Here is a 27,171-nt window from a genome sequence, read left to right as displayed (position 1 = left end):
TGTGGTCCTGCCCAAGGGCCTGATTCTGACTCCATGTGGTCTCAGGAGTGGGGTGGCAGATGATGCCGCTGGGGTCAGGTGTCACCCAGGAGGGGTGGGAGAGCTGTCAGCCCAGAACAGCCGGCGAGTCCCCAGGAGCCCGCCTGGGCCCCCTGCCCGTGCCCACCCCAGCCCTGCATGTGAATTGTGGGATATACTGATTCTGTACAGAGACAGAAGCGCCGGTGAGTCCCCGGGAGGCACCCCGCATCCCCATGCCCCGAGTGTGAATAGTAGGATATACTGTGTGTGAATGGTGAATGGTGAATGGTGGCCGCCCAGCGTGTGAATGTGTGGGAATGATGGCTGCCCCACGTGTGAATGCGTATGAACAGTGGTCACCCGGCGTGTGAATGTGTGGGAACAGTGGCCGCCCCGCCTGGGAATGGTGAATGGTGGCCGCCCCGCCTGTGAATGGTGAATGGTGGCCGCCCCGCCTGTGAATGGTGAATGGTGGCCGCCCCGCCTGTGAATGGTGAATGGTGGCCGCTCTGCCTGTGAATGGTGAATGGTGGTCGCCCTGTGTGTGAATGGTGAATGGCGGCCGCCCTGCCTGTGAATGGTGAATGGTGGCCGCCCCGCCTGTGAATGGTGAATGGTGGCCGCCCCGCCTGTGAATGGTGAATGGTGGCCGCTCTGCCTGTGAATGGTGAATGGTGGCCGCTCTGCCTGTGAATGGTGAATGGTGGTCACCCTGTGTGTGAATGGTGAACGGTGGCCGCCCCGCCTGTGAAAAGTGAATGGTGGACGCCCCGCATGTGAAGAGTGAAGAGTGGATGTACCGATTCTGTACAGAGATAGCTGCTTACATCCTCCGCCTCTTCTTTGGGTTCACGGCGGGCGATGATGGCCTCGGACTTCACTCTGTGGGAAGGGGAAGGAGGCAGGGAGGGTGAGGGCCTCCCAGGGGCCTCGGGAACACATAGCGGGCAGTGCCCGCCCCGAACCTGTGTCCTTGCCTCTGTGCAGGGCTGGGGGCTCTCCCCACAGGGACCCCTTCAGCAGCCGTTTGGTTCAGGGCCCTGAACGCTTCTTCCAGTTCCCTGGGGACAGGTGGCCCTGAGCCACTGCTGCATGAGTGCTCTGAAGCCCAGCCGTCCATCCTGGCTGCCCGGGAATGCGGAGGGGGAGCAAAGCAGAGGGGCCCTGGCTTTGGCAAACCCAGAGCAGATCTGGGTCCCTTCTTAGGCAGAGGCATGGTCTCGGAGCGCCCACACCTCCTCTGTCCATCAGAGAAGGGCTGGAGCCCCAACATACAGCTCTCCGGGGGCCGTGGCCAAACCTTGGCTGATCAAAGGGCTGGAGGAGTGGGATGGTGGGAGCTGTGCAGAGAAGGAACGCGTGAGACAGGCCCAGCGTGTGCTGTAGGAGGCTCAGGAGGAGACCACGGCCCCACTCTGCTGGTTGGGGTGGAGTGGCTGTGAGCTGGAGCTGGAGGTAGGTAGGCTATGCACAGAGCCGCTCAGGCTGGAGAGCAGGCACTGGAGGAGGCAGCCACTCCAGAGCCCTGAGGCCGGGGTCCCTCTCTGACCAGCTTTCCATGCCCTGCCCTCACCTTTTCAGTTCCTCTTCCAGCTCCTTGATACGGTTTTCCAGCTTGACTTTGGCCTGCTTAGCAGCCTCCAACTCGCCCCTCAGCACCTCCTGCTCCCCGGACAGCTGGTCGACCTTGGCAATCAGGTCATTCTTCACCACATTCAAGGCGTTTCTTTGAAAAAGCAGAAAGATGGGAGTGCCACGGGCGCGGCATACAGGTACGTGAAGGGGCCTTGCCAGGGGCGCCTGCACTTCCGCCCTGGAGAAGGCACAGCCTGGTTAGGAAGGTGGCTGAATGGGAGACCCCATCCCCATCTTAGCTAAACCCTATAGCACCCTTGTTAGAGGCTCCTGGAGACAAGCTTCGTAAAGAAACCAGGCAGAGTCCTGCTCCAAGTTCCTCCCGCCAGAGATGAGGACAGCTGCTGGCGTTGGAGCCAGGTGCTCCCCAAGGCGCCCTCTGGCCCGGCTCACTCTCCCAGCCCTGACAAGGAGGGCTGCCTCAGCCCCACCACACAGGAGAAGGGCACTCTTACTTGGTTTCCAGAAGCTGTGAGTTTTCCAGTAGCAGATTCCCCACTTCTTTGCCCATTCCTGAAACAGAAGGTGCGGAGGTTTCACCTGTGCCCTTCAAAACAGGTCACTGATGCCGCCGCACCTGCCTCAGGGCAACAACGCTTCCAAAGAGGGTAGCCTGGCTGGGGATGACGCCCGATCTACAGGGAGCGGGGGCCGTGAAGGGCGGGGCTCATGCTGGGCCCGCAGTCTGTGCACAGAGCAGGCTCCCAGGCCTTGGGGTGGTTCTCATGTCCGACCAATGTCACAGGCCAGCTGGCCGGACGCAGGCCCCTGAATGGCCGCTGGGCTGCCATCTCAGTGCCCCCAGCAGGTCTGTCACCAGGCAGGCCCTCTCGGAGCCACCACCCTAGGCGAGTGATGTTGGAGCTGCGGTGAGGGGACAGGTGGGCAAGGAGAGGCCTGGCCCTCACGGCAGGGCCAGCAGGGCTGGGGTGCGGCGATGGGGCGCGGCTGTGAGGACAGGGCTCCCTGGCAGGACTGAAGGCTCCTCTACCACGAGGCCCCAAGTGGACCTGGACTGATCTCCCTGCAAGCATGCCCCAGAAACCCCAAAAGGATGGAAAGAAACTCCAAGGTCCTGCCCTCCCACACACTCCCCCACTGTGTATGCAGTCATGAAACAGCATCACACGCCTCTGTGCCTGGGCTCAGGGGTCCTGCCTGCTGTCTCTATTATGACCTCCCTTGCCTCAAACATGGGCCTTCCTCCCCACAGGCAGGGTCTGCCCGGCGCTTGTGGGGTTCAGAGAGGCTGGGGCTGCCCTCCTCGGGCCTTCAAGTCTGTCCCTTGGGGAAGTCGCCACCTCCCACAGCCCAGAGGCAGCCTGGACAGAGCGAGCTTCACTCAGGGCTGCCCCCCTGACCCCGGCGGCCCCAACACTGTCCCCATCATGCAGAACAAAGCAAACGGCTCATGAAGCAGGAGACCATGTCGGGGTGGAGGAGCGACGCACGCTGGAACGGGGCCTCAGCCTTACCAAAGAAATCATCGCGCACTAGGGAGCCGTCCCCGTCCCACAGGAGATGGGCAACCAGGGCGGGAGGAGAGGGAGAAAGGGAGAGAAGAGAAGCGCGTTAAGCCCGTGTGGACAGCAGGCTGGGAGGAATTCAGAGCTGGGTCTGCTGGGTTAGGGTGGGTGCAGGAGGGAGTTAGGAGGGCAGGAGATGGGATGGAGCCAGCTATTCCTTCTGGAAAGTTTATCCTTGGGGTTACATGAAGACTGCCAGGCCAGTGTCACCTGTGGAGCAGGAAGCTAACATCTCACCCCAAATTCTGGGCTGGGTGGGGCTGAGGGCAGAAGGCACCCCTGTGGGGATGGGCTGTGCCTGGAGGCTGGGGGGCTGCATCTGGACAGCCTCTGGGTGGGGCCTCGGAGCCTCCTGCTGTGCAGCCAGAGAGCAGGACTCGGCCTGTCCACCCACGTGGGGAGGGGACCCCGGGCTGGGCTTCGTAGGGGCTTCAAGGACCCCTGACTTCTGGGGTGTGCCTGACAGCAGGGGAGGCCCCAGAGCTGGCCTTGGCCATGTCCAGTCACTGCCGTGCGTGGCTTAGGGCTCCGCAGGGCCTTCAGAAATGGCCCGCGGGGGACTCCTCAGGCTGGGGGGGTTGGATATCCAGGTCATTGTCAAGTGGCTGGTGGAGCAAACCGAACAAGCTTCCGAGCGGCGGTGGCTGCGAGCAGAAGCAGAGGCGCTGCGGCGACGTGGGGGGCAGTCCACACAGCCACGGTGACGGGATAGCTCGGGGCATCCCCCGTCCACCCACTCCCCCCGTCACACAGAGGGGAGACAGACAGGAGAGTGAGATACTCACCTGAGAACTCCCCTGGCGAGTCCAGCGACGCACAGAGAGGCAGGGGAAGGAAGGGACAAAGGTCAATTAGGGACTGGAACTAACAATACATTCTTATTACAGAAAACCCAGCAATGATTCGGCTGCTCCCATGTTGCAGGGCAGGAGAGAGAGGGAGCAGCCTCCAGCAGGTCCCGGTGCCCCGTGTGCCCAGGCAGAGGCCTGCAGGGAACCAGGCCCAGGCGCCGTGGTCCAGCCCAGGGCTGTGTTGCCGAGCCCTGACCCGGAAGCCTGCTGCCCTCTGCTCCCATCGCCCATCAGGAGGGCAGGCCCCCCGCAGCCCCCATGATGCAGGCCTGTGAAGAGGAGAGTGTGTGTGGCAGGGTGTGGCAGGTACCCAGTCTCCAAAAGCCCCCCAGCGTGGGCGAGGGAGAGAGCGGCGAGGGAGACACCGCAGACGCAGGCCTGGAGCTGGACTCCTAGGCTTCTGGGTCAGCCTGGGTAGGGCAGGACCTCGGTGAAGGATGACTGAAGTCACAATGGGAGCAAGGGCCCCACTGTGGAGGGCAGAGAGAACATGCCAGAAAGCAGAGGAGGGCTGGGGAGCGTGGGGCGGGCGAGGCATCCTCACTGGGTCCTGGCCCCTCCCTGCACAGGAGGCTGGCGAGGGAAACGCTCTGCGGGAAAACACCACTTCCTCCAACAGAGGTGAGGACGCGGTTCTCTTCTACTTGGTTGTTTCACACAGAAAGGAAAATGGCATTAAAAAGTCACTTGAGCAGGGCGTGGTGGCTCACGCCTGTAATCCCAGCACTTTAGGAGGCCGAGGCGGGCGGATCACAAGGTCAGGAGATTGAGACCATCCTGGCTAATGCGGTGAAACCCCGTCTCTACTAAAAATACAAAAAATCAGCCAGACCTGGTAGCGGGCACCTGTAGTCCCAGCTACTCGGGCGGCTGAGGCAGGAGAGTGGCTGAACCCGGGAGGCAGAGCTTGCAGTGAGCTGAGATCACGCCACTGCACTCCAGCCTGGGCGACAGAGCAAGACTCCGCCTCAATTAAAAAAAAAATGTCACTTGATTTAGATGACAAAACGGCTGTTTGTTATCGGAATTCCAATAATAAAGCAATTCCCAATTCGAGAGCAGATGTCCTTCTCTCTCATCTCGGCTTCCCAGGGCAACCACTGCTCACGGCCAATATTCTCCTCTCAGGTTTCCTTCTAGATAAGCAACAGGTTTCAAAGAACAAAAACGGGACCCCATTATCCATCTCTCTGGGAGGCTTCCTGTGTTCCACTCAGCACTTTTATGGGACTTTCCTGTGCTGAGGTTCCTGGATGCCTTTATTTATTTTTTGAGACGGGGTCTCACTCTGTTGCTCAGGCTGGAGTGCAGTGGCACTATCATAGCTTACTGCAACGTTGACCTCCCAGGCTCAAGAGATCCTCCCACCTCAGCCTCCTGAGTAGCTGAGTCTACAGGTACATGCCACCACGCCCGGCTAATTTGTGTGTGTGTGTGTGTGTGTGTGTGTGTGTGTGTGTGTGTGTGTGTTTTAGTAAAAATGAGGTCTCACTATGTTGCCCAGGCTGGTCTTCAACTCCTGGGCTCAAGCAATCTGCCCACCTTGGCCTCCCAAAGTGCTGGGATTACGGGTGTGAGCCACTGTGCCTGACCCCGGTTGCTTTTTTTAGATGGGGTCTCGTTCTGTCACCCACGTTGGAGTGAAGTGGCGCGATCCACCTCCCAGGCTTAAGCAATCCTCCCCATCAGCCTCCCAAGTAGCTGGGGCCATGGGTGCACACCACCATGCCCAGCTAAGTATTTGGTAGAGACGGGGTTTTGCCATGTTGCCCAGGCTGGTCTTGAACTTCTCAGCTCAAATGATCCACCTGCCTTGGCAGGCATGAGCCACCGCCCCTGGCCTGGTTGCTTTCAATGCCCTGTAGTGTTTCTCTATGGGAATATCTCATCATCTGTCACTGTACCCGCTCCCCCAAGACTTGGGGTCCCTGTGTGAGGGCTTGAGGTACTTTTCAGCCCTGTGACTGCCCGACTGCTCCCTCGAAGGAGCATCTCCAGCTGCTGGTCCACCACCATTACCACCCGCCAGTGCTCGGTGGGGCTGCACCCATCACCCCTGGCTGGCACGTAGGGCAGCACCTGCTCCACCCTAGTCAGCCTCGATTGTCTTATTTTCAATCTTTTAGGGAAAAAGTTTTCTTGATTTTCTCTTTATTTCTTTATTATTTCCGAAATTGAGCATCTTTTCAGATGTTTATTGGTATAGCCTATAAACTTCCTTTTCCTTTTTTTTTTTTTTTTTTGAGAAAGACTCTCACTCTGTCACCAGGCTGGAGTGCAACGGCGCGATCTTGGCTCACTTCACTGCAACCTCCACGTCTCGGGTTCAAGCGATTCACTTGCCTTAGTCTTCTGAGTAGCTGGGATTACAGGCATGTGTCACCAGGCCCAGGTAATTTTTGTATTTTTAGTAGAGATGGGGTTTCACCATGTTGGCCAAGATGGTCTCGATCTCTTGACCTCGTGATCCGCCCACCTTGGCCTCCCAATGTGCTGGGATTACAGGCATGAGCCACCGCACCCGGCCCCTTTTCCAGTTCTACTATCCTTTGTTGACGTTCTTATTTTTCTGAGACAGGGTCTTGCTCTGTCCCCCACGCTGGAGTGCAGTGGCACAATCATGGCTCACTATATCCTTGAACTCCCAGGCTCAAGTGATCCTCCCACTTCAGACGCCCAAGTAGCTAGGACCACAGGTGCCAGCACACCCGGCTGCATTCTGTTGTCCTCGTAATTGTGTACTTAGATCTTTAATCCACCTGGAAATCACTGCTGTTTACGGGGAGGTCAGGCTTAGACTTCATTTTACACCAGCAGCAACTAAGGCAGTACATTTACTGACTCATCTGCCCGTTTTCCACGGTTTGAGATGCCATACTTGTCATACATAGATGAATTCCCCATGGCTCCAGGTCTGTCTTGGCTCTTGGCCCTGAGCTCATGAGCTCGTATCACAGGTTTGTTGCTGCCTGCCTCAACTGCCGCAGCTTTATGTGGAATCCTGCAAGCTTTTTCTCTCCCCACATTTTCTGGGATATTCTCACATGTTTCCTCTACTGGATCAACTTCAGATCCATTCATAGAGTTCCAGAAAAATCTCCAACAAGCATGTGGGTATTTTTACTGGTAATGAACGGATTCCTGTGGGAACGGTGGGGCTGCCTGTCATGTCAGCAGACAGCTCACAGGGTGTGTCTTCAGGTCCGGGCACGTGGCAACACCCTCTGCGTGTACAGCTTCTTTTATGTCTTTCAATGGTGCTTCTGAATCTTACACAGGCTTGTCTTTTCTCAAGGTTATTTGTGGATATTTTCTTCTTCTTTTTTTTTTTTTTTGAGACGGAGTCTCGCTCTGGAGTGCAGTGGCATGATCTCAGTTCACTGCAACCCCCGCCTCCCAGGTTCAAGTGATTCTCCTGTCTCAGCCTCCTGAGTAGCTGGGACTACAGGGCCCGCCACCACACCCGGGTAATTTTTGTATTTTTAGTAGAGATGGGGTTTCACCACGTCGGCCAGAGTGGTCTCGAACTCCTGACCTTGTGATCCGCCCACCCTGGCCTCCCACAGTGCTGGGATGACAGGCATGAACCACTGTGCCCGGCCTATTTGTGGACAGTTTCTACATCTGGCTACTACATCGGTGGAATCTCTCCTGAGGGCTGCCTCGTCCATGCAGAGCAGAGCGGAGAGAAAGATCAGCTGCGTGGATTCCAGATTCCGCTCAGCAATGCAAGGCACATAGTATAACTTCTCTGAGTATTAGTCATTTGTGAAACAGAAAAATAAGTTCCTTAGTGAATATTTGCTGTGAAATTCCCACCAGGTAGTGCGGTAATAGCTGGTACAGCTCCCAGCACCAGCGACATACTCAGTGAGTATTAATTCCCTTACTCCCTATTAGGCCAATTTTTTTTTTTTTTTGAGACAGAGTTTCGCTCTTACTGCCCAGGCTGCAGTGCGGTGGTGCGATCTCGGCTCACTGCAACCTCTGCCTCCCAGGTTCAAGCAATTCTCCTGCCTCAGTCTCCCAAGTAGCTGGGATTACAGGTACCTGCCACTGCACTCAGTTAATTCTTTTGTATTTTTAGTAGAGATGGGGTTCACTATCTTGGCCAGGCTGGTCTTGAACTCCTGACCTCATGACCCACCCGCCTCGGCCTCCCAGAGTGCTGGGATTATAGGCGTGAGCCACTGTGCCCGGCCGGTCCTAGTATACCAATTCTAAGACGTACATTTTTTTCCTCATGTTAACATTTCTGAAATTTCAGTAGGTCTTAAACAATCACTGTCACATTATAGTTTAATTTGCAGCAGTTTTTTCTTTCTTGAAGATTCCTAAAATAATGGTACGTGGGGCTGGGCACGGTGGCTCACGCCTGTAATCCCAGCACTTTGGGAGGCCGAGGTGGGCGGATCATGAGGTCAGGAGATCGAGACCATCCTGGCTAACATGGTGAAACCCCGTCTCTACTAAAAAATACAAAAAATTAGCCGGGCATGGTGGCAGGCACCTGTAGTCCCAGCTACTCGGGAGGCTGAGGCAGGAGAATGGCGTGAACCCAGGAGGCGGAGCTTGCAGTGAGCTGATATCGTGTCACTGCACTCCAGCCTGGGCAACAGAGCAAGACTCCGTCTCAAAAATAAATAAATAAATAAATAAATAATGGTATGTGGGCTGGGTGCAGTGGCTCACACCTGTAATTCCAGTGTGATTTGGGAGGCCAAAGTGGGAGGATCACTTGAGTCTAGGAGTTTGAGACCAGCCCTGGCAACACAGCAACAGCCTACCTCTATAGGAAACAAACGAACGAACAAACAAAAAAGTCTTAAAATTGGTGTTGTCTGAGATTCGATGGAATACAACAGATGCCCGACCTGGGCTCTTTTTATTTCTCCATCACCAAAGGAACTCAGAGTAAAAATGCTGAGAGAGGTGCAGGGCCGCCCACGTAGACGCTGGACGGAGGGATGTCGCTCTCCACCTGCCGACTTTTGGCAGAAGCACCCTCCCGTCACGTGCAAAGCTGACGTGTTTCTGAAATGATGCTCTTTCCCAGATCTGTGCAGGCTCCAGGCTCTCCCCTGCTTGGCAGCCACACAAGGGCGTACTCCTTTTCCTGCTGTCTTCAGGAGTTCATGCCCATTCTGCAGCTGAGCTGGACATGGGGCGAGTTGATTAGGGCAGAGGGGCGCAGGTCCCAGCTCATTTGTCCATCCTGGTTGCCAGAGAGCAGGCTCCTCTGTTTCAAAAACCTTCCATCAACAGATTGCAGCAGCAGGAGGTCCCCACTCATCAGGACTGCCTGACTTTTTCTTTTCCTTCTCTCTTTTTTTTTTTTTTTTTAAGAGACAGGGCCTCACTCTGTCACCCAGGCTGGAGTGCAGTGGTGTGCTCACAGCTCACTGCAGCCTCAAACTCCCAGGCTGAAGTGATCTTCCCACTTCAGCTTCCCAAGTAGCTGGGACTTACAGGTGCACACCACCATGCCTGCCTAATTTTTTTATAAAATGTTTTGTAGAGATGGGGTCTCGCTATGTTGACCAGGCTGGTCTTGAACTCCTAGGCGCAGGTGATCCTCCTGCCCTGGCCTCCCAAAGCTCTGGGATTACAGGTGTGAGTGACTGTGCCTGGCCTCCCTGCCTTTCTTATACGCATTACGTTTAAGGCTCTGGAAAGGCACCAAAAGGTCTGTTACTCCCAAGAGCAGCCTGTCGTGCCAGCCTGAGCTCGGCGATGCCCAGATGACCAGCACCCTGCAGAGTAGGGTGGCAGAGCCCAGAGTGCACGGAGGGCGTGGAACGCATAGTGACTTGCAGCCTCATCGTGGAGCGCACAGTGACTCGGCCTCCATCGTGGTATGAGAAAAGGACTGCCTCACGGTCTCGTGGGAAAGCAGACTCCTGGCCAGTGCCCTCTAGGTGGGTGCTGCAGGGGGTGGCTGTGCAGCAGGGCGAGGCAGCACAAAGGCCACGGGTTGAGCACAGGGTACCACAGCCAACAGGATGGGCGGATGCGCAGGCCACAGAGTCCCTGGTTGGTGAGGAAGCTGCCAATCCTGGTCATCTCTTGGAGCCGGGCGGGGGTCAGAGTGTGGCTGGAGCACGATTCACAGCCTCCCAAAGGTGGAAAGCACCAAGCAGGGGCCCATTAGGGCAAACAGGTGAGCACAACGTGGTCTGTCCATGCAACGGGCACTACTCAGCAGTGAAAAGCCAGGAGGCACTGACACGCTGCAGCTGGGATGGACCTTGAAGATGTGATGCAACGTTAAAGAAGCCAGGCAGAAAAGGCCCATTGCTGTGAAACGTCTGGAACAGGCAAATCTACAGAGACAGAGCATGGATTTGTGGTTGCCTGGGGCTGGGGACGAGGGGCAGACAAAGCGACTGCTCATGGGCACGGGGTTTCCTTTTGGGGGTGAAGACGATGTGACTGTCAACACCGAGCATGCTAAGACCCACTGGACTGTACACCGTAAGTGAATGAATTACACAGTGTGGAAATCACATCTCAATAGAGCTACTGAACAGCACAGACCTTGCTCAGAGTTAGGGCTGCTGTTCTGGGTGGGACCTGCGTTCAAGTCCGAGCTCTCACCGTCATCTCACCCTCCCTGACCTCAGTTTTTTTTTTGAGACAGAGTCCCTCTCCCTGTCACCCAGGCTGGAGTGCAATGGTGCGATCTCAGCTCACTGCAATCTCCGCTTCCTGGGTTCAAACAATTCTTCTGCCTCAGTCTCCCGAGTAGCTGGGATTACAGGTGCCCGCCACCAGGCCCAGCTAATTTCTTTTTGTATTTTTAGTAGAGATGGGTTTCACCATGTTGGCCAGGCTGGTCTCAAACTCCTGACTTCAAGCAATCCACCCGCCTCGGCCTCCCAAAGTGCTGGGATTACGGGCATGAGCCACTGTGCCCGGCCTCAGTTTCTTCATCTATAAATGGGGACACTGGCAGGAGGGCGGCTTGATGCTGCAGTAAGGACCGACGGTGGCCGTGCCCGTCAGTGCTGCCACCCACGGAAATGACACCGCCCACAATGAGAAGGGCAGCTGCGACCTGACACTGTGTGTTCTGCGTACACATGTGTCATACCTCTGTGGGCCATGGGCCATGGTGTCTGGTAGGTGTCACCAAGACATTAAAACAATCGGCCAGGAGTGGTGGCTCACGCCTGTAATCCCAGCACTCTGGGAGGCCGAGGCGGGTGGATCACAAGGTCAGGAGATCAAAACCAGCCTGACCAACACTGTGAAACCCCATCTCTACTAAAAATACAAAAATTACCTGGGCATGGTGGTGCATGCCTGTAATCACAGCTACTCACGAGGCTGAGGCAGGAGAATTGCTTCAACCCGGGAAGGCAGAGGTTGCAGTGAGCCGAGATCGCACCACTGCACTCCAGCCTGGCCCACAAAGTGGGACTCCGTCTCAAAAAAAAAAAAAATCATTATAGCATGGTGGGGAGGTTCCCTCTGGTTTTTACTCTCTTCTTGGCATTTGCTGATATTATTTAAATATTATTATAAGCATATATAATTTTTTCAAAAAATAAAAAAAATAGCTAAAAAATATACATTATCGGCCGGGCATGGTGGCTCACACTTGTAATCCCAGTACTTTGGGAGCCTGAGGCGGGTGGATCACCGGAGGTCAGGAGTTCAAGACCAGCCTGGCAAATATTGTGAAACCCCGTCTGCACTAAAAATACAAAAATTAGCCGGGCGTGGTGGCGCGTGCCTCTAATTCCAGCTACTTGGGAGGCGGAGACAGGAGAATTGCTTGAACCTGGGAGGCGGAGGTTGCAGTGAGCCAAGATGGCGCCACTGCATTCCAGCCTGGCGACAGAGCGGGACTTTGTCTAAGAAATAAATAAATAAATAAATAAATAAACATTATCTGAATTATGTAGAGTGGAAGGATAGCAAAATATTAAAAGAGATTACCCCTATTTAGCAGGATTTTTCTGAAGATTAATCTCCTTTGGATTTTTTATATATATTTTTGCAACACATGAGAAAAGTTCCACAGAAAATTCACAGCACCAAAGTGCGCCCTCACCGCCGTCCTGATCTCGGGGAGCATTCCATCTTTCACCACCAAGTACAGTGTGTCCAACACTACTGAACTGAACACTTCAACTCGGTTAACATGGTGAATATTATGTTACTCATACATGGCCTCTACTGGGGCACTTTCTGACTCAAGCCAGGATGAGACAGGCCTCCCTGTCAGGGTGAGGCCCTGCTGGTGCTCAGCACCCCACATTACTCTGCTCCCTGGAGGTCCCCCTGCCCCAGATAAGACAATCAGCTCAGGAGTACACCAGGAGGCAGCCTGGGATCCAGGAGCTTCTCACCCTGCGGGCTGGGGGAAGCAAGGCCATGGCGAAAGGCTCGGACCCTGACGCGTGCAAGGGGACAGACTGCGCTGTCCTACTGCCCGCCTGTCATGCCTGAAAGCCTGGGGCTCAGAGCCACATGGCCAGTGCTCAGCTGCCAGCAGATGCCATGAGCACAGGAGACTCCACGTGCTGACAGGAAGCAGGTCCTGATGTTTGCAGCCGCCACAGACCTAGGCACAGGGGTCCGGTGTAGACCTGTGGCGCTGAGGTGAAGCCAGGGCTGTCTGCGGAGGAGTGGGCAAGTGGGCACCCTCCCAACCTCCTCCAAAGTCAATGGTCCTAGGGTGTGCGGCGAGGCTAATGGGCACAGAGCAGAGAAGCGGGCACCCTCCCAACCTCCTGGAGAGTTGGCAGCCCTGAGGGTGTGTGCAGAAGATGGGGCGAGGCTAACAGGCATGGATTTCTTTTAGGGATGGCGGAACATTCTAAACTGAGATCATGGGGGTGGCTGCCCCACCTGTGAGTACGCTGTAACCCACCGCACCGTGCACTCGAAGCGGGTGAATTTTATGATACAGTCGACCCTCAATACCCACGAGTTCTGCATGTGTGGATTCAACCAGCCTCACAGAAAATGTACAGGCCTGTGGTGGCCGTGTCTGTACTGACGTGTACACTTTTTTCCTGTCATTATTCCCTAAACGACACAGCATAACAGCAACTACTTACACAGCATCTACAACATAACCTAGAGGTGATTTAGAGTACACGGGAGGGTGCAAACACTACACCACTTCAGAGCAGGGACTTGAGAAGCCTCAGATTTTGGCATCCTTGGGGCAGTCCAGAAACCAATCCCCTGTGGAGATGGAGGGACAATTCCATGTGAAACGCAACTCAACAAAGCTGGAAAAAAAAAGGTTCCTAGCTCACAGCTGACAGAGGACTTTCCTTTCATTACAAACAAAACCAACAGCAGAAAGCCCCAGCATTGTGCAGGCACAGCGGTGCGGGGGAAGGCTTGCGCTTACCTAGGAGGTCGGCCCCTTCGTCCACATCCCCGATGACCTCAGACCCTGCCGTCGACAGCTCATGGTACAGGGAGTCGGTGTTGATGCCGAAAGCTTTGTTCACGATGCCCTGGGTTGGGCTGTTGGGATCCACAGGTCGGGAGAGAGAGCAGAGTCAGTGGGCAGCCCGGAGTGGCTGCGTCTGCAGACTCTTCCAACACCTCCCACCGTGGCCATTCAATGCCCACACTGCCCTGCAGGCCGGTCGTGGATGGAGGCGGTAGGCCACAGCCTTGATGGTTCTCCCAGTGGTGGCAGAGGAAGACTTCACCAAAGACACCGACTTGGATAAATACTGAGCCCCCAGGACCCCAGGGCCTGGGCTGAGCCAGTACCTGCTTCCTGTGCGGTCCAGGCGGGTCTCTGGACACATGTCCAGCTCTGGCGTGGAGTCAATAATGTCTTGAACATCAGACCACTCGTCACTGCTGCCCATGCCTAGGGGAGAGCACAGGGGCACCTGGGGTCAGGAGAGGGTCTGGCAGCCTCTGCCCTGCTCACGGCTGCCCTCGGAACCTGAGTCTGGTGGGCTGGAGCTGGACCACCTGCTAGGTGGGGATGATCAGAAAACAGCTCTTCCCAGGCTGACTGGGCAGAGGTCGAACCCCAGCACAGTAGACGTCTGAGGCGGGGCCTGGAGCGGGGTGGGTTGCAGCAGCCTCTCTGCATGGGAGTGTCAGCAGTAAGCCCAGTCCCCAGAGATCCCACGTCCAAGCAAGCCAGTGGCTGGACCTCCTCTCGGCCCTCATTCCCCTCTTCTCTTTCCCTCACTGGCCTGTGTGCCGTGGGGCAACGCAGGTTACTGGTTAGTGGGGCTGTGTGCCATGGGGTGACGTAGGCTACTGGTTAGTGGGACTGTGTGCCGTGGGGCGATGCAGGTTACTGGTTAGTGGGGCTGTGTGCCGTGGGGCGATGCAGGTTACTGGTTAGTGGGGCTGTGTGCCGTGGGGCGATGCAGGTTACTGGTTAGTGGGGCTGTGTGCCGTGGGGTGACGCAGGCTACTGCCTTAGTTGTGTCTCCCCAAATCCATATGTTAATAGATACCCCCTAGCATGACTGTATTTGGAGGCTGGGCCTTTCAAGAGGTGATTATGGTAAAATGAGGTCACGTGGTGGCTCTAATCCAATGGGGCTATGTCCTTGTAGGAGCTGGAGATGAGGACACAGACACACCCAGGGGATGCCTGTTGAGGACACAGGGAGAAGGTGGTGTCTACAAGCCAAGGAGTGGCCGCAGGAGGAACCTACCCTGCCAGCGCCTTGATCTTGGACCCCAGCCTCCGGGCTGTGAGGAACACGTCTCTGCTGCCTGCACTGCCCGCCTGGTGCATTAGTTTCACATCTACCCAAACCAAGCCCTGCCTCCTGCCCGAGGGAGCCCAGAGTCCCGGAGGTGGGCACCCACCTATACTGACGTTGCGCATCTCCTGGGTGACCTGTACTTCCATGTTGCGGCTGTCGCGCTTCTCCCGGGCACGCTTGCTGTTCTTGGAGCCCACGCCATAGTCCCCCAGGGGCTGCAGGCTCTCGTTGAGGGGTGTGACGGCGGCCGAGGGCACGGAGGATGTGGGCGTGTTGGACTTGGTGCCTGTGGTGCTGGGTGTGGCGGCCGCCGAGGACTGGCCTGACTCGGACATTTCATCCTGTGGACACTAAGGCCAAACACAGGGAGGAGGGAGAGCGAGTCACTGCAGGTCCCTGGCCTGCGGCTCCGCCGTGGCTGCCTGAGGCCCCGCGCACCAATGCTTTGCACTTTGCCTCGCCCGACACCCTGCGGGCCAGAGCTCCTCTGCCGCCCACCGGGCTAACCCTTCCGGGCCTCACCACTCCCGAGTGGCTCTGCTTATCCGGCCACTGACTCCGGCTCCTCGGAAGCAGGGCCACCCTCCTGAAATGGCTTGGAACGGGGCTTTCCACTGGTGCCCTCCCCAGACGATTGCTTGTAATGGGCCAGTGCCTCGCCAGGGACACAGCGGCAGCCCCCTGTAGCTTGTGGCTGTTCAGAAACAAGTCCAGCCCAGGTAGGGCAGAGGGCTCTGACTGGGGACCCAAGAAGGGCTGGCTGTGCCGCCACCGCTGCCCCGTCACCATCACTGTGCTGAAGAGCTCGAGGCTGGGCCCACCCGCGCCTGCCCCACGTTCCTCCCCGGGCTCAGGTCAGGGCCAGGGAGTGACCAGAAGGTGCTGACCCTGTGGCTTGACTGGACCAGAGCTCACCCCTGAACATGAGCAAGCGCAAAGAAACCACAATCCCTGCTCACAGAAAGGGACGCCACCAAGACATTCTGGAGGGTGGGGGCAGCCCGGATTACGAGAAACCGCAACCAGCCGTCTACCTCAGGAAGCTCGCTAGGGAGGAGCGCATTCTATGTGACTAATGCGGAATGCGAAACAAACATTCTTTCCAATGGTCTTTCCTAACAAAGATACTGAACCAGCTGGAGAAAAAGAGCCCCAAACGTTCTCGTCTTAGCTGACCTGATCACCCGCTATGGCAGAGCTTGCCCGTGGCCCCCGGCCCTCCTTGAGGTGTGGGAAAGTGCAAGGCCTCAGAGGCACCCAGGTGGCTCCTGTGCCTGTCCCAGGCAGCCGCTGGGTGGGTTCCCGTGGTCTCTCAGAGGGCGCACCGTGGGGGACTCTAATGCTAAGGATCTCACCCAGGGAGGAGCTGTCGAGGGGGTATCCAGCCCTCTCCACAGCTGACTTATACTGGCCTTTAAGTGACCAGGGCAGACGGGACTTCCAGAAGTCATGGCCAGTGCTGACCTCTGCCTCTGCCCAGCCTCTCTGGTCACCGCCAGACTCAGGGCACGGGGCCTCTCAGTACCGGACACGGCCACTCACTCAGAGGACACATTTCTGCTTCATCTACCAGGCTCCTAAGTTTCTCTAGAAGGAATCTCAAAATGACACACCTTCCTCTATAGTAGCTATTCTCAGTTGGGCTGACTGCCCCGAGGGGATGCTTGCAAAGTCCAGAGACATTTTTGTGGTCACAAATGAAGGGGGTGCTCCTGGCTTTCGTGGGTGGAAGCCAGGGATGCTGCTCCACACCCACCGCGTCCCAGCGGCCCAGGCCATGCATGTCCAGCCCCAAAAGATGAGCAGTGCCGAGGGAGAGCCCTCACACGGGCGCAGCCCGCCTCCCGGAGTGGCTTTGTAGAAATGTCTGAGACGGCCTGTGGCTCTGCAGCTATGCCCAGTTTGAAAGGAAAACCCTTGCTCTTCATGTCACTCCCCACGCTGGAGGAAGCGAGTACCGCTCATGCAAGAAGTCTGTGCTGACGTTCTCAAAGAACCTGTCTACCCAATGTGTCACAGGCACCTGGTGTCTCACCGACTCTGCCACCACCCGGCAGAGAGAAAACAGGGAACCCCATGTGGCCAGGCAGGGTGTAGCTGTGCACATCAGACAAACGCTTCTGGGCCACCTTCCTCCACGCTGGGTCCCCGGCCTGCTCCTGACCCTCATGGTGGCTGCGGGGAATTCTGCAGTCTGATTGCGCCTCCCCTAGCTCTCCGTCACCCTACAGGGCCACCACTTACCCATGGGACACTCCCCCTGGCCACAACTTACCTAAAGGCAAACCTCTCAACCTCCTAAACATCAACGTGTAGCAGTGACCTCCAAATGCACTGAAAGAACCCAAACTCTTAGCGGTCATTCCTCACCATGAGTAGCCACAACTGTTTGGTTAAAACACTGAAAATACAGTACATAAAAACAAAAACAAAACAAAACAAAAAACAACAAAAAAATTAAGAAATTAGAAAAACTTCAAAACCTAGAGCATAAAATAAAAAGAACTTAAATGTAATAATTTAAAATAAAGAAAAATCAAATAAAACACTCCTATGAACGAAAACATAAAACGCTACAATTTATGAAGAGAGCGACGATGTCAGACAACGCAGGAGGTGAAAGGAAAGACATCATGAGAAGAAGAGCGGGCCCAGAGCGGGCGCGAGAGGCAGCCCGGAGGCCAGAGAGCGTCAAGCAAGGGCTCCCCCCGGCTGAGGCTGACGTGTCTTCAGATGCCTATGGGCAGGTCCCAGCTCCAGGCCCGGGAAGCGTGAGCCAGAGACAGTGAGAGGAGGTGGGCCCAGGTGGCAGGGCTGGGCCCAGAAGGCCCGGGGAGCCCGCAGCCCCGCCACCCTCTCTCCAGCCCTGAGCACAGGGAGGACAGGAGAGCGTTCCAGATGCCATGAGGGAGCTCGCTCCCAGAGCAGCGCAGCAGCAGGTGGGCTGACGGAGCAGGAGCCTGCAGCAGCCCCCACAGGCACGATGGACACTTAGAGGTGGAAGGACAGTCGGCAAAGCATGCAGCAGGAAGTAAGCTTCTGGAGAAGTCCCAGGCCCCACATCCACCAGCCCAACCCAGCCCACAGGCCCCAAGGGCTCTGCCTCTGTGGACATCCTCTGACGGCCCCTGTGGGAAATCCACCAGACCCGGGGTCACCTCTTCTTCCCAGGAAGGTGGCTGTCCTTACCTGGCACTGAGGCCAGTGAGCTCACAGGCCAAAACTGGCAGCAAGCGACCTGGGGCCCTGAAGGAGTGGCCTGGCTCTGGGCCCCTGTGCTCTGAGGTGCACTCACCGGCTGGCTGTGAGAACCTGCTGGGGCCCCCGCACTCTGGCTGTGAGTACCTGCTGGGGCGAGGCTCTGCTTTCTCAAACTCAGGACCCAGGAGGCGTTACCAGGGACAGGCAGGGAGGGGCCCAGAGAAGAGGAGCTTTCTCCTCACCTTTCTGCCAACGGAGGGCAAACCCCACACTCTAGACACTGACGTTCCTCCGAGAGTAGAGGCGTGGCTCTCAGGGGCAGGATGTGTCTGGCTGGAGCCCGGGTGAGCATGAGGCTTTATGTGGGGGTGTGGTTTGAGAGAGGATCACTAAGCTCAACCCTGACAGGCACTGTACACCCCTGGCTACAGAGCGGTCTATCCAAGGGCAGGGAGGTCTAGCCTGGACTAGCAGGTGCCGACACGAGGCCGCGTGGAACAGCCACAGCCACACAGGGCCTGCTGGGCAGCCTGAGCCCCTGACACCCTGGCTGGGTTTCTCCATCCTGCCACACACGAAGGGAGAGGGCGAGTGGCCCAGAGAGCCGTGAAGGGCTGCCTGCAGACGAGGCTCCCGCCCCAGTGAACGGGGAACACCAGCAACAGGGAGGAGCCTCTCACTCCACGGCACGGCTACAAAACCTGGTAGCTGGAGCTGGACTGCAGCTGGCCGAGGTCACTCAGGTGCCAGTGGTCCCCCGCAGGCACGAGCTTGCCCCCGATCTGTGCACGTACCGTGCCGTCAGCCAGGGGGAACACGTTCAGGGAGGTGGGGCGCTCCTTCCTGCTGAAATGGGGGGCGAGAGGAGAGGAAGCGATGGTTAGAGGGTGGCCGTGAAGATTTCCCAAGCCCTCCCAGGGCAAGCAGACCTCGAGTGATGGGGCCGCTCCATGCCAGCCAGCAGCCCAGCTCGAGCAGCTACTCAGTTATGATCCTACGTGGCGCTTCCCCTCCCATGATGCTGCAGTTTCTCATTTTTATTAAGTTCAATTTTATTTTATTTTATTTTATTTTATTTTTTTTGAGGCGGAGTCTCGCTCTGTCACCCAGGCTGGAGTGCAGTGGCACGAACTTGGCTCACTGCAAGTTCCACCTCCCAGGTTCACGCCATTCTCCTGCCTCAGCCTCCCACGCCTGGCTAATTTTTTTTTGTATTTTTAGTAGAGACGGGGTTTCACCGTGTTAGCCAGGATGGTCTCGATCTCCTGACCTGATGATCCGCCTGCCTCGGCCTCCCACAGTGCTGGGATTACAGGCGTGAGCCACCGCGCCCGGCCTAAGTTCAATTTTAAACAGACACAAGCCGGGTGTGCTTTAGACACCCCACAGCAGAGCCAGCCACGGGACTTGGCATCACGGTCAGCGCTGCACGGCCACCATGAGCAATGCCTTTTAGGACCATTGTCTTATGTGTGCCCAGCCCTGCCTCCCTGTGGTGTTACTGCCAGCCCTGCCTGTTCCCCTGGCGCCAGCAGAGGGAATCCAGCCTTCCTGCCCCTGTGCCTTGTTCCTTGGCCCCTCCTGCCCATCCTCATTACTCCTGTTCATGAGGCTGCCTCACTGCAAAATATCTGAACACGACACATCCAGAGTAAGGACTGACCCCGTCTCATCTGCTGCAGCCGGAGCCTGAGCCTGAGGGGCGTCTTCTCCCTCCCCACGTGTCCTCTCTGCTGTCAGGGAGCCCCGAACCTGAAGACGGACCCTGGGACAGCCTGGCCTCGGACAGCCTGGCAAGACAGTGGGAGCGCCTGGGAGCTGGAGCTGTCAGGACAGTGCTCAGTGCCCCCTGCTGTGGGCTCAGTCCCTAGGGATGACCTCCTGTGGGCCATAAGCAAGAGCAGGGATGGAGCCCAAGGTCTCCCTTTACGTCCTCCTCCGCGGGAGGTTTCCAGTCAACAGCCCAGAGGTCCCAGAGGCCAGGCTGGCTCCTCACCTCCTCAGGTCTGGGGGGCAGGCCACGTGGTCAGATGCTGGAGCCCACACTGCTCAGGGCTATTCAGGACAAGAATTAAGAGTCTGCTTGCACCACAGCCTCAGCTGCTTACATCTCAGCCCTGAGACTGTAGGAGGGAAGGGAGCTTCCTCAGGGGTTCAAGGAACCTGCTCTGGCCATGCCTGGAGGATGCAGACGGCGACAGGGGAACGCAGCAGCCGCCGCTGACCAGGAGCTCCGCTACCTGGGTGGGGAGCTATGAAGAATGACCCTGGGAAGGGGTCTCTTTGTGGGGTGCATACAGCTCTGGGGACTGGCCGCCTGCTCTGTTATGTTCAGGACAACACCGTATCCTGTAGCACGAGGGAACCAGGGCCGGCTGGGACTGGGCTGTGCCATCTTGGCTGCTGGTCCATGGCACTCAAGCTGTTGTGACAACAGCCATGAGGTTCCCTGGCCACCGTGAAGGCAGCCAGCCACCAGGCCCAGGGAGCATGACCCCAGTGGGAGGCTGGGCTTCAACCGCCCTGTCTGCACCAGGGGCCTCCTGGCCCCACTTCCACTGCGCTCCCAACGCTGGTGCGGGGAGCGCCTCTGCTGAGGCCCAGTTCTGACGCCATCAGACACGTCTCAGTCCCTAGACCGAAGCCGATGCGGTCCTGGCTGTCACCAGATGCTACAGGGGACAGCAGGGTCAGAGGGGCCTCTGGTCTCCCAGGAGGCCAAGGGAATGCATGTACGGCTCTCCCACCCACACAGCTCCATGCTGGGCCACGGCTCAGCCAGGCCACCACCTCCGACAGAAATCACCCAGGATCAGGAGCTGCCTTCACTCTTTCCTTTGCTCCTCCCCACCGGCCCCCAGGCCCTGGCCTCAGGCTCGTGAGCGTTTGCCGACTGACCCCGTCCTCCCGATTTGTCCTCGCAGCTCCCTCAGGGGATGCAGATGCTCCCTAGTTCAGAGACCACCACCCCCAGGGGTCACGCCACCCTCGGGGGTCACGCTGCCCTTGGGGGTCATGGGTGTGTCACCGGCTCTGACACAGGCTGGTGAGTGAGGGAGCTGGGCTATGAGTCCAGGTCCGACTGATGCAGAGAGGGGCCCTTCCTTGGCCCGTCGCCCCCCGAGTCAGCACCAGCCCCACCTGATGCACACCCCTCCTTAGCAGGAGTCGGCGCCGTGCCTTCGTCTGTGACCAAGGCAGTGCTTGTGGAGCGAGGGCAGAGTGTGGGCGACCTGGACGGCGCTGCCCAGCTGCATGGCTGTGCAGGGGACCCAGTGGTCGCCACCTTCTCAGTGTCAGTCTCGTGAATGTGGCCAGATGGCCCTTCCGACCTCTCACATCTGCCACAGGAAACACCTCACAGCAGACCAAGCAGCCGCCCTGGGCTGGTAACTGATGCCCTAATGTGCCTGCTGGTCGTCCCCCAGCACCACAGTGGACACACCTCTTGGGTTTTACCTTTTCCTCCACGACTGACGAGGACTGCAGGGCAGCGACAGACACGGCAGCACACGGCAGCGACAGCACAGAGGGCAAGACAAGGAGACAGGCGTTAGAAGGCGTGGGCAGCAGAATGCGCACACGCCACATGGATGGTCAGCATGTGGTGATGGCACAGAGGGCGAGACAAGGAGACAGGTGTTAGAGGGCGTGGGCCACAGCGTGCGCACACGCTCATATGGACGGTCACACAGATGCTCACACGGACGGTCAGCATGTGACGATAAGGAGACAGGTGTTAGAGGGTGTGGGCAGCAGCGTGTGCACACGCTCACACGGACGGTCACACGCTTACACGGACGGTCACACAGACGGTTGCACGCTCACACGGAGGCTCACAAGGACGCCTACACGGTTACGGATGATCACACGGATGCTCACACGGTTATGCGGACACTCACACGGACGGTCACACACTCACACGAACGGTCACACAGATGCTCACACGGACGGTCACACGGAAGCTCACACGGACGGTCACACACTCACACGAACGGTCACACAGATGCTCACACGGACGGTCACACGGAAGCTCACACGGACAGTCACACGCTCACACGGACGGTCACAGGGATGCTCACACGGACGGTCACACGGATGCTCACGCTCACACGGACAGTCACACGGATGCTCACACGGACGGTCACACGGATGCTCACACGCTCACACGGATGGTCACACGGATGCTCACACGGACGGTCACACGCTCACACGGACGGTCACACGGATGCTCACACGGACAGTCACACGGAAGCTCACACGGACGGTCACAGGGATGCTCACACGGACGGTCACACGGATGCTCACAGGCTCACACGGTCACACGGATGCTCACACGGACGGTCACACGGATGCTCACACGCTCACACGGATGGTCACACGGATGCTCACATGGACGGTGACACGCTCACATGGACGGTCACACACGGACGGTCACACACACACGGTCACACAGATGCTCACACGGACGGTCACACGGAAGCTCACACGGACGGTCACTCACACGAACGGTCACACAGATGCTCACACGGACGGTCACACGGAAGCTCACACGGACGGTCACACGGAAGCTCACACGGACGGTCACACACGGACGGTCACACACACACGAACGGTCACACAGATGCTCACACGGATGGTCACACGGAAGCTCACACGGACGGTCACACACTCACACGAACGGTCACACATGCTCACACGGACGGTCACACGGAAGCTCACACGGACGGTCACACGGAGGCTCACACGGACGGTCACAGGGATGCTCACATGGACGGTCACACGGATGCTCACACGGACGGTCACACGGATGCTCACACGGATGCTCACATGGATGGTCACACTCTCACACGGATGGTCACACACTCACACGGACGGTCACAGGCTCACATGGATGCTCACACGGACGGTCACACAGATGCTCACATGGATGGTCACACTCTCACGGACGGTCACACGCTCACACGGACGCTCACACGGACGGTCACACGGATGCTCACATGGATGGTCACACTCACACGGATGGTCACACACACGGACGGTCACACGCTCACACGGATGCTCACACAGACGGTCACACAGATGCTCACATGGATGGTCACACTCACACGGACGCTCACACGCTCACACGGACGCTCACACGGACGCTCACACAGATGCTCACATGGATGGTCACACACACGGATGCTCACATGCTCACACGGACGGTCACACAGATGCTCACATGGGTGGTCACACTCTCACACGGACGCTCACACACATGGATGCTACACGGATGGTCACACAGATGCTCACATGGATGGTCACACTCACACGGACGCTCACACGCTCACACGGACGCTCACACGGACGGTCACACAGATGCTCACATGGGTGGTCACACTCACACGGACGCTCACACGCTCACACGGACGCTCACACGGACGGTCACAGATGCTCACATGGGTGGTCACACTCACACGGATGCTCACACGCTCACATGGATGCTACACGGACGGTCACACATGCTCACATGGATGGTCACACTCACACGGACGCTCACACGCTCACACCGATGCTCACACGGACGGTCACACAGATGCTCACATGGATGGTCACACTCACACGGATGCTCACACGCTCACACGGATGCTCACACGGACAGTCACACAGATGCTCACATGGATGGTCACACACACGGACGGTCACACGCTCACACGGATGCTCACACGGACGGTCACACATGCTCACATGGATGGTCACTCTCTCACACGGTCACACGCTCACACGGACGCTCACACGGTCACACGGATGCTCACATGGATGGTCACACTCACACGGATGGTCACACACACGGACGGTCACACGCTCACGGATGCTCACACGGACGGTCACACAGATGCTCACATGGATGGTCACACTCACACGGACGGTCACACGCTCACACGGATGCTCAAATGGATGGTCACACTCTCACACGGATGGTCACACACACGGACGGTCACACGCTCACGGACGCTCACACGGACGGTCACACAGATGCTCACATGGATGGTCACACACACGGACAGTCACGCTCACACGGACGGTCACATGGATGCTCACATGGATGGTCACACTCTCACACGGATGGTCACACACTCACACGGACGGTCACACGCTCACACGGATGCTCACACGGACGGTCACACAGATGCTCACATGGATGGTCACACGGACGGTCACACGCTCACACGGACGCTCACACGGACAGTCACACGGATGCTCACATGGATGGTCACACACACGGACGGTCACACGCTCACACGGATGCTCACACGGACGGTCACACAGATGCTCACATGGATGGTCACACACACGGACAGTCACGCTCACACGGACGCTCACACGGACGGTCACATGGATGCTCACATGGATGGTCACTCACACGGATGGTCACACACACGGATGGTCACGCTCACACGGATGCTCACACGGACGGTCACACAGATGCTCACATGGATGGTCACACACGGACGGTCACACGCTCACACGGACGCTCACACGGACAGTCACACGGATGCTCACATGGATGGTCACACACACGGACGGTCACACGCTCACACGGATGCTCACGGACGGTCACACAGATGCTCACATGGATGGTCACACTCTCACACGAATGGTCACACACTCACACGGACGGTCACACGCTCACACGGACGCTCACACGGACGGTCACACAGATGCTCACATGGGTGGTCACACTCACACGGACGCTCACACACTCACACGGACGCTCACACGGACGGTCACACAGATGCTCACATGGATGGTCACACTCTCACACGGACGGTCACACACTCACGGACGGTCACGCTCACACGGATGCTCACACGGACGGTCACACAGATGCTCACATGGATGGTCACACTCACACGGACGCTCACACGCTCACACGGACGCTCACACGGTCACACGGATGCTTACATGGATGGTCACACTCTCACGGATGGTCACACGCTCACACGGACGGTCACACGCTCACACGGATGCTCACACGGACGGTCACGGATGGTCACATGCTCACACGGACGGTCACACAGATGCTCACATGGATGGTCACACTCACACGGACGGTCACACGCTCACACGGACGCTCACACGGACGGTCACACGGATGCTCACATGGATGGTCACACTCTCACACGGACGGTCACACGCTCACACGGATGCTCACACGGACGGTCACACGGACGGTCACACGCTCACATGGACGGTCACGGATGCTCACATGGATGGTCACTCACACAGACGGTCACACACGGACGGTCACACGCTCACGGATGCTCACATGGACGGTCACACACGGACGGTCACACGCTCACACGGACGCTCACACGGACGGTCACACGCTCACACGGACGGTCACACACGGATGGTCACACAGACGGTCACACGGATGCTCACATGGATGGTCACACGCTCACACGGACGGTCACACGCTCACACGGACGCTCACACGGTCGGTCACACGGATGCTCACACGGACGGTCACACGCTCACACGGACGGTCACACGCTCACACGGACGCTCACACGGACGGTCACACGGATGCTCACATGGATGGTCACACGCTCACACGGACGGTCACACACGGACAGTCACACGCTCACACGGATGCTCACACGGACGGTCACACACGGACGGTCACACGCTCACACGGACGCTCACGGTCACACGGATGCTCACATGGATGGTCACACGCTCACACGGACAGTCACACGCTCACACGGATGCTTACACGGACGGTCACACACGGACGGTCACGCTCACACGGATGCTCACACGGACGGTCACACACGGACGGTCACACGCTCACACGGATGCTCACACGGTCACACGCTCACACGGACGCTCACGGTCACACGGATGCTCACATGGATGGTCACACGCTCACACGGACAGTCACACGCTCACACGGATGCTTACACGGACGCTCACACGGATGGTCACACATGCTCACACGGACGGTCACACGCTCACACGGACGCTCACACGGACGGTCACACAGATGCTCACATGGATGGTCACACACACGGACGGTCACACGGATGCTCACATGGACGGTCACACTCTCACACGGATGGTCACACACACGGACGGTCACACGCTCACACGGATGCTCACATGGACGGTCACACTCTCACATGGACGGTCACACGGATGCTCACATGGACGGTCACACGGATGCTCACATGGGCGGTCACACTCACACAGACGGTCACACGGATGCTCACGGATGGTCACACGGATGCTCACATGGACAGTCACACAGATGCTCCATGGACGGTCATATGGATGCTCACACGGGCGGTCACGCTCTCACACGGACGGTCACACGGATGGTCACACAGATGCTCACATGGACGGTCACACTCTCACATGGACGGTCACACGGATGCTCACATGGACGGTCACACTCTCACATGGACGGTCACACGGATGCTCACACGGACAGGCACACAGACGCTCACACGGACGGTCACACGGATGCTCACATGGATGGTCACACTCACATGGACAGTCACACGGATGCTCACACGGATGGTCACACGGATGCTCACACGGATGGTCACACGGACTCTCACATGGACGGTCACACTCTCACACGGACGCTCACACGGACGGTCACACGGCTGCTCACACGGATGGTCACACGGACGCTCACATGGACGGTCACACTCTCACACGGACGCTCACACGGACGGTCACACGGATGCTCACACGGATGGTCACACGGACGCTCACATGGACGGTCACACGTTCCACACGAACGCTCACGTGGATGCTCACATGGACGCTCACACGCTCACATGGACGCTCACTCACATGGACACACACGGAAACACGGACAGTCACATGGACCGTCGCACACTCACAGACGGTCACATGCTCACACGGATGCTCACACCGATGGTCACATGGACGCTCACACGGACGGCCAGGATGTGGTGATGTGAGACACGCAGGGCGGCCGTACCCCGATGAGACAGAAGCCACACACAGGCACCCAAGAGGGACAGACATGCGACACACGAGCCCTCTTGGCTTTGACAAGAGGCCCTGGAACGGGGCTGTGTGGCAGTTCAGCCAGTGCCACGTGTCCCCAGTGCCGTGCACTGCGCGAATGTCTCAAGACAGCGCCTGGCACGTGTGTACACATGGCACGTGGTGACGGCACACATGTGGCCACACAGACAC

The 27,171-nt window shown here is 57.7% G+C and overlaps 1 protein-coding gene and 1 non-coding gene across 13 annotated transcripts in view, besides 7 other annotated features; both read right to left on the bottom strand.

Annotated features, from left to right (window-relative positions):
- Positions 1-27,171, bottom strand: part of MAPK8IP3 (mitogen-activated protein kinase 8 interacting protein 3) — a 64,157-nt gene that overhangs the window by 8,225 nt on the left and 28,761 nt on the right. For 2 of the 12 annotated variants that reach the window (XM_011522429.3, XM_047433814.1), the window contains 10 exons: positions 21,409-21,432; positions 18,651-18,795; positions 14,852-15,098; positions 13,781-13,883; positions 13,407-13,525; positions 3,968-3,979; positions 3,132-3,149; positions 2,112-2,169; positions 1,595-1,747; positions 822-903 (listed from right to left, as the gene is read on the bottom strand). In XM_011522429.3, coding sequence (XP_011520731.1) covers positions 822-903; positions 1,595-1,747; positions 2,112-2,169; positions 3,132-3,149; positions 3,968-3,979; positions 13,407-13,525; positions 13,781-13,883; positions 14,852-15,098; positions 18,651-18,795; positions 21,409-21,432 — 961 coding nt within the window. Of the gene's footprint in view, positions 1-821; positions 904-1,594; positions 1,748-2,111; positions 2,170-3,131; positions 3,150-3,967; positions 3,980-4,343; positions 4,795-13,406; positions 13,526-13,780; positions 13,884-14,851; positions 15,099-15,270; positions 18,796-21,408; positions 21,433-27,171 lie in introns of those variants that run through there. The other 10 variants (XM_047433812.1, XM_011522430.3, XM_047433813.1 and 7 more) reach the window with 10 other exon arrangements.
- Positions 1,464-1,634: a silencer, noted in NCBI's record as "fragment chr16:1810494-1810664 (GRCh37/hg19 assembly coordinates)". NCBI's record gives its function as "represses an EF-1alpha promoter that drives an FKBP-Casp9 reporter gene in an ReSE screen in HepG2 liver carcinoma cells {active_cell/tissue: HepG2}" and the evidence as "EXISTENCE:reporter gene assay evidence [ECO:0000049][PMID:32094911]".
- Positions 9,455-9,955: an enhancer, noted in NCBI's record as "H3K4me1 hESC enhancer chr16:1802173-1802673 (GRCh37/hg19 assembly coordinates)". NCBI's record gives its function as "activates a minimal SCP1, AML or CMV promoter by ChIP-STARR-seq in primed H9 embryonic stem cells {active_cell/tissue: H9 hESC(primed)}" and the evidence as "EXISTENCE:reporter gene assay evidence [ECO:0000049][PMID:30033119]".
- Positions 10,999-11,211: a silencer, noted in NCBI's record as "fragment chr16:1800917-1801129 (GRCh37/hg19 assembly coordinates)". NCBI's record gives its function as "represses an EF-1alpha promoter that drives an FKBP-Casp9 reporter gene in an ReSE screen in K562 erythroleukemia cells {active_cell/tissue: K562}" and the evidence as "EXISTENCE:reporter gene assay evidence [ECO:0000049][PMID:32094911]".
- Positions 21,693-22,270: an enhancer, noted in NCBI's record as "H3K4me1 hESC enhancer chr16:1789858-1790435 (GRCh37/hg19 assembly coordinates)". NCBI's record gives its function as "activates a minimal SCP1, AML or CMV promoter by ChIP-STARR-seq in naive H9 embryonic stem cells {active_cell/tissue: H9 hESC(naive)}" and the evidence as "EXISTENCE:reporter gene assay evidence [ECO:0000049][PMID:30033119]".
- Positions 22,271-22,849: an enhancer, noted in NCBI's record as "H3K4me1 hESC enhancer chr16:1789279-1789857 (GRCh37/hg19 assembly coordinates)". NCBI's record gives its function as "activates a minimal SCP1, AML or CMV promoter by ChIP-STARR-seq in naive H9 embryonic stem cells {active_cell/tissue: H9 hESC(naive)}" and the evidence as "EXISTENCE:reporter gene assay evidence [ECO:0000049][PMID:30033119]".
- Positions 26,162-26,661: an enhancer, noted in NCBI's record as "H3K4me1 hESC enhancer chr16:1785467-1785966 (GRCh37/hg19 assembly coordinates)". NCBI's record gives its function as "activates a minimal SCP1, AML or CMV promoter by ChIP-STARR-seq in naive H9 embryonic stem cells {active_cell/tissue: H9 hESC(naive)}" and the evidence as "EXISTENCE:reporter gene assay evidence [ECO:0000049][PMID:30033119]".
- Positions 26,662-27,163: an enhancer, noted in NCBI's record as "H3K4me1 hESC enhancer chr16:1784965-1785466 (GRCh37/hg19 assembly coordinates)". NCBI's record gives its function as "activates a minimal SCP1, AML or CMV promoter by ChIP-STARR-seq in naive H9 embryonic stem cells {active_cell/tissue: H9 hESC(naive)}" and the evidence as "EXISTENCE:reporter gene assay evidence [ECO:0000049][PMID:30033119]".
- MIR3177 (microRNA 3177) lies at positions 27,061-27,142 on the bottom strand. The gene has a single exon (NR_036138.1). It is a non-coding gene; the product is annotated as a microRNA 3177 (primary transcript).

This window comes from Homo sapiens, chromosome 16 (assembly GCF_000001405.40).
Source record: "Homo sapiens chromosome 16, GRCh38.p14 Primary Assembly".
Lineage (NCBI taxonomy): Eukaryota > Metazoa > Chordata > Mammalia > Primates > Hominidae > Homo > Homo sapiens.
The sequence above is the reverse complement of the archived record's forward strand: the minus strand, read 5'-3'. Positions and strand labels throughout refer to the sequence as shown.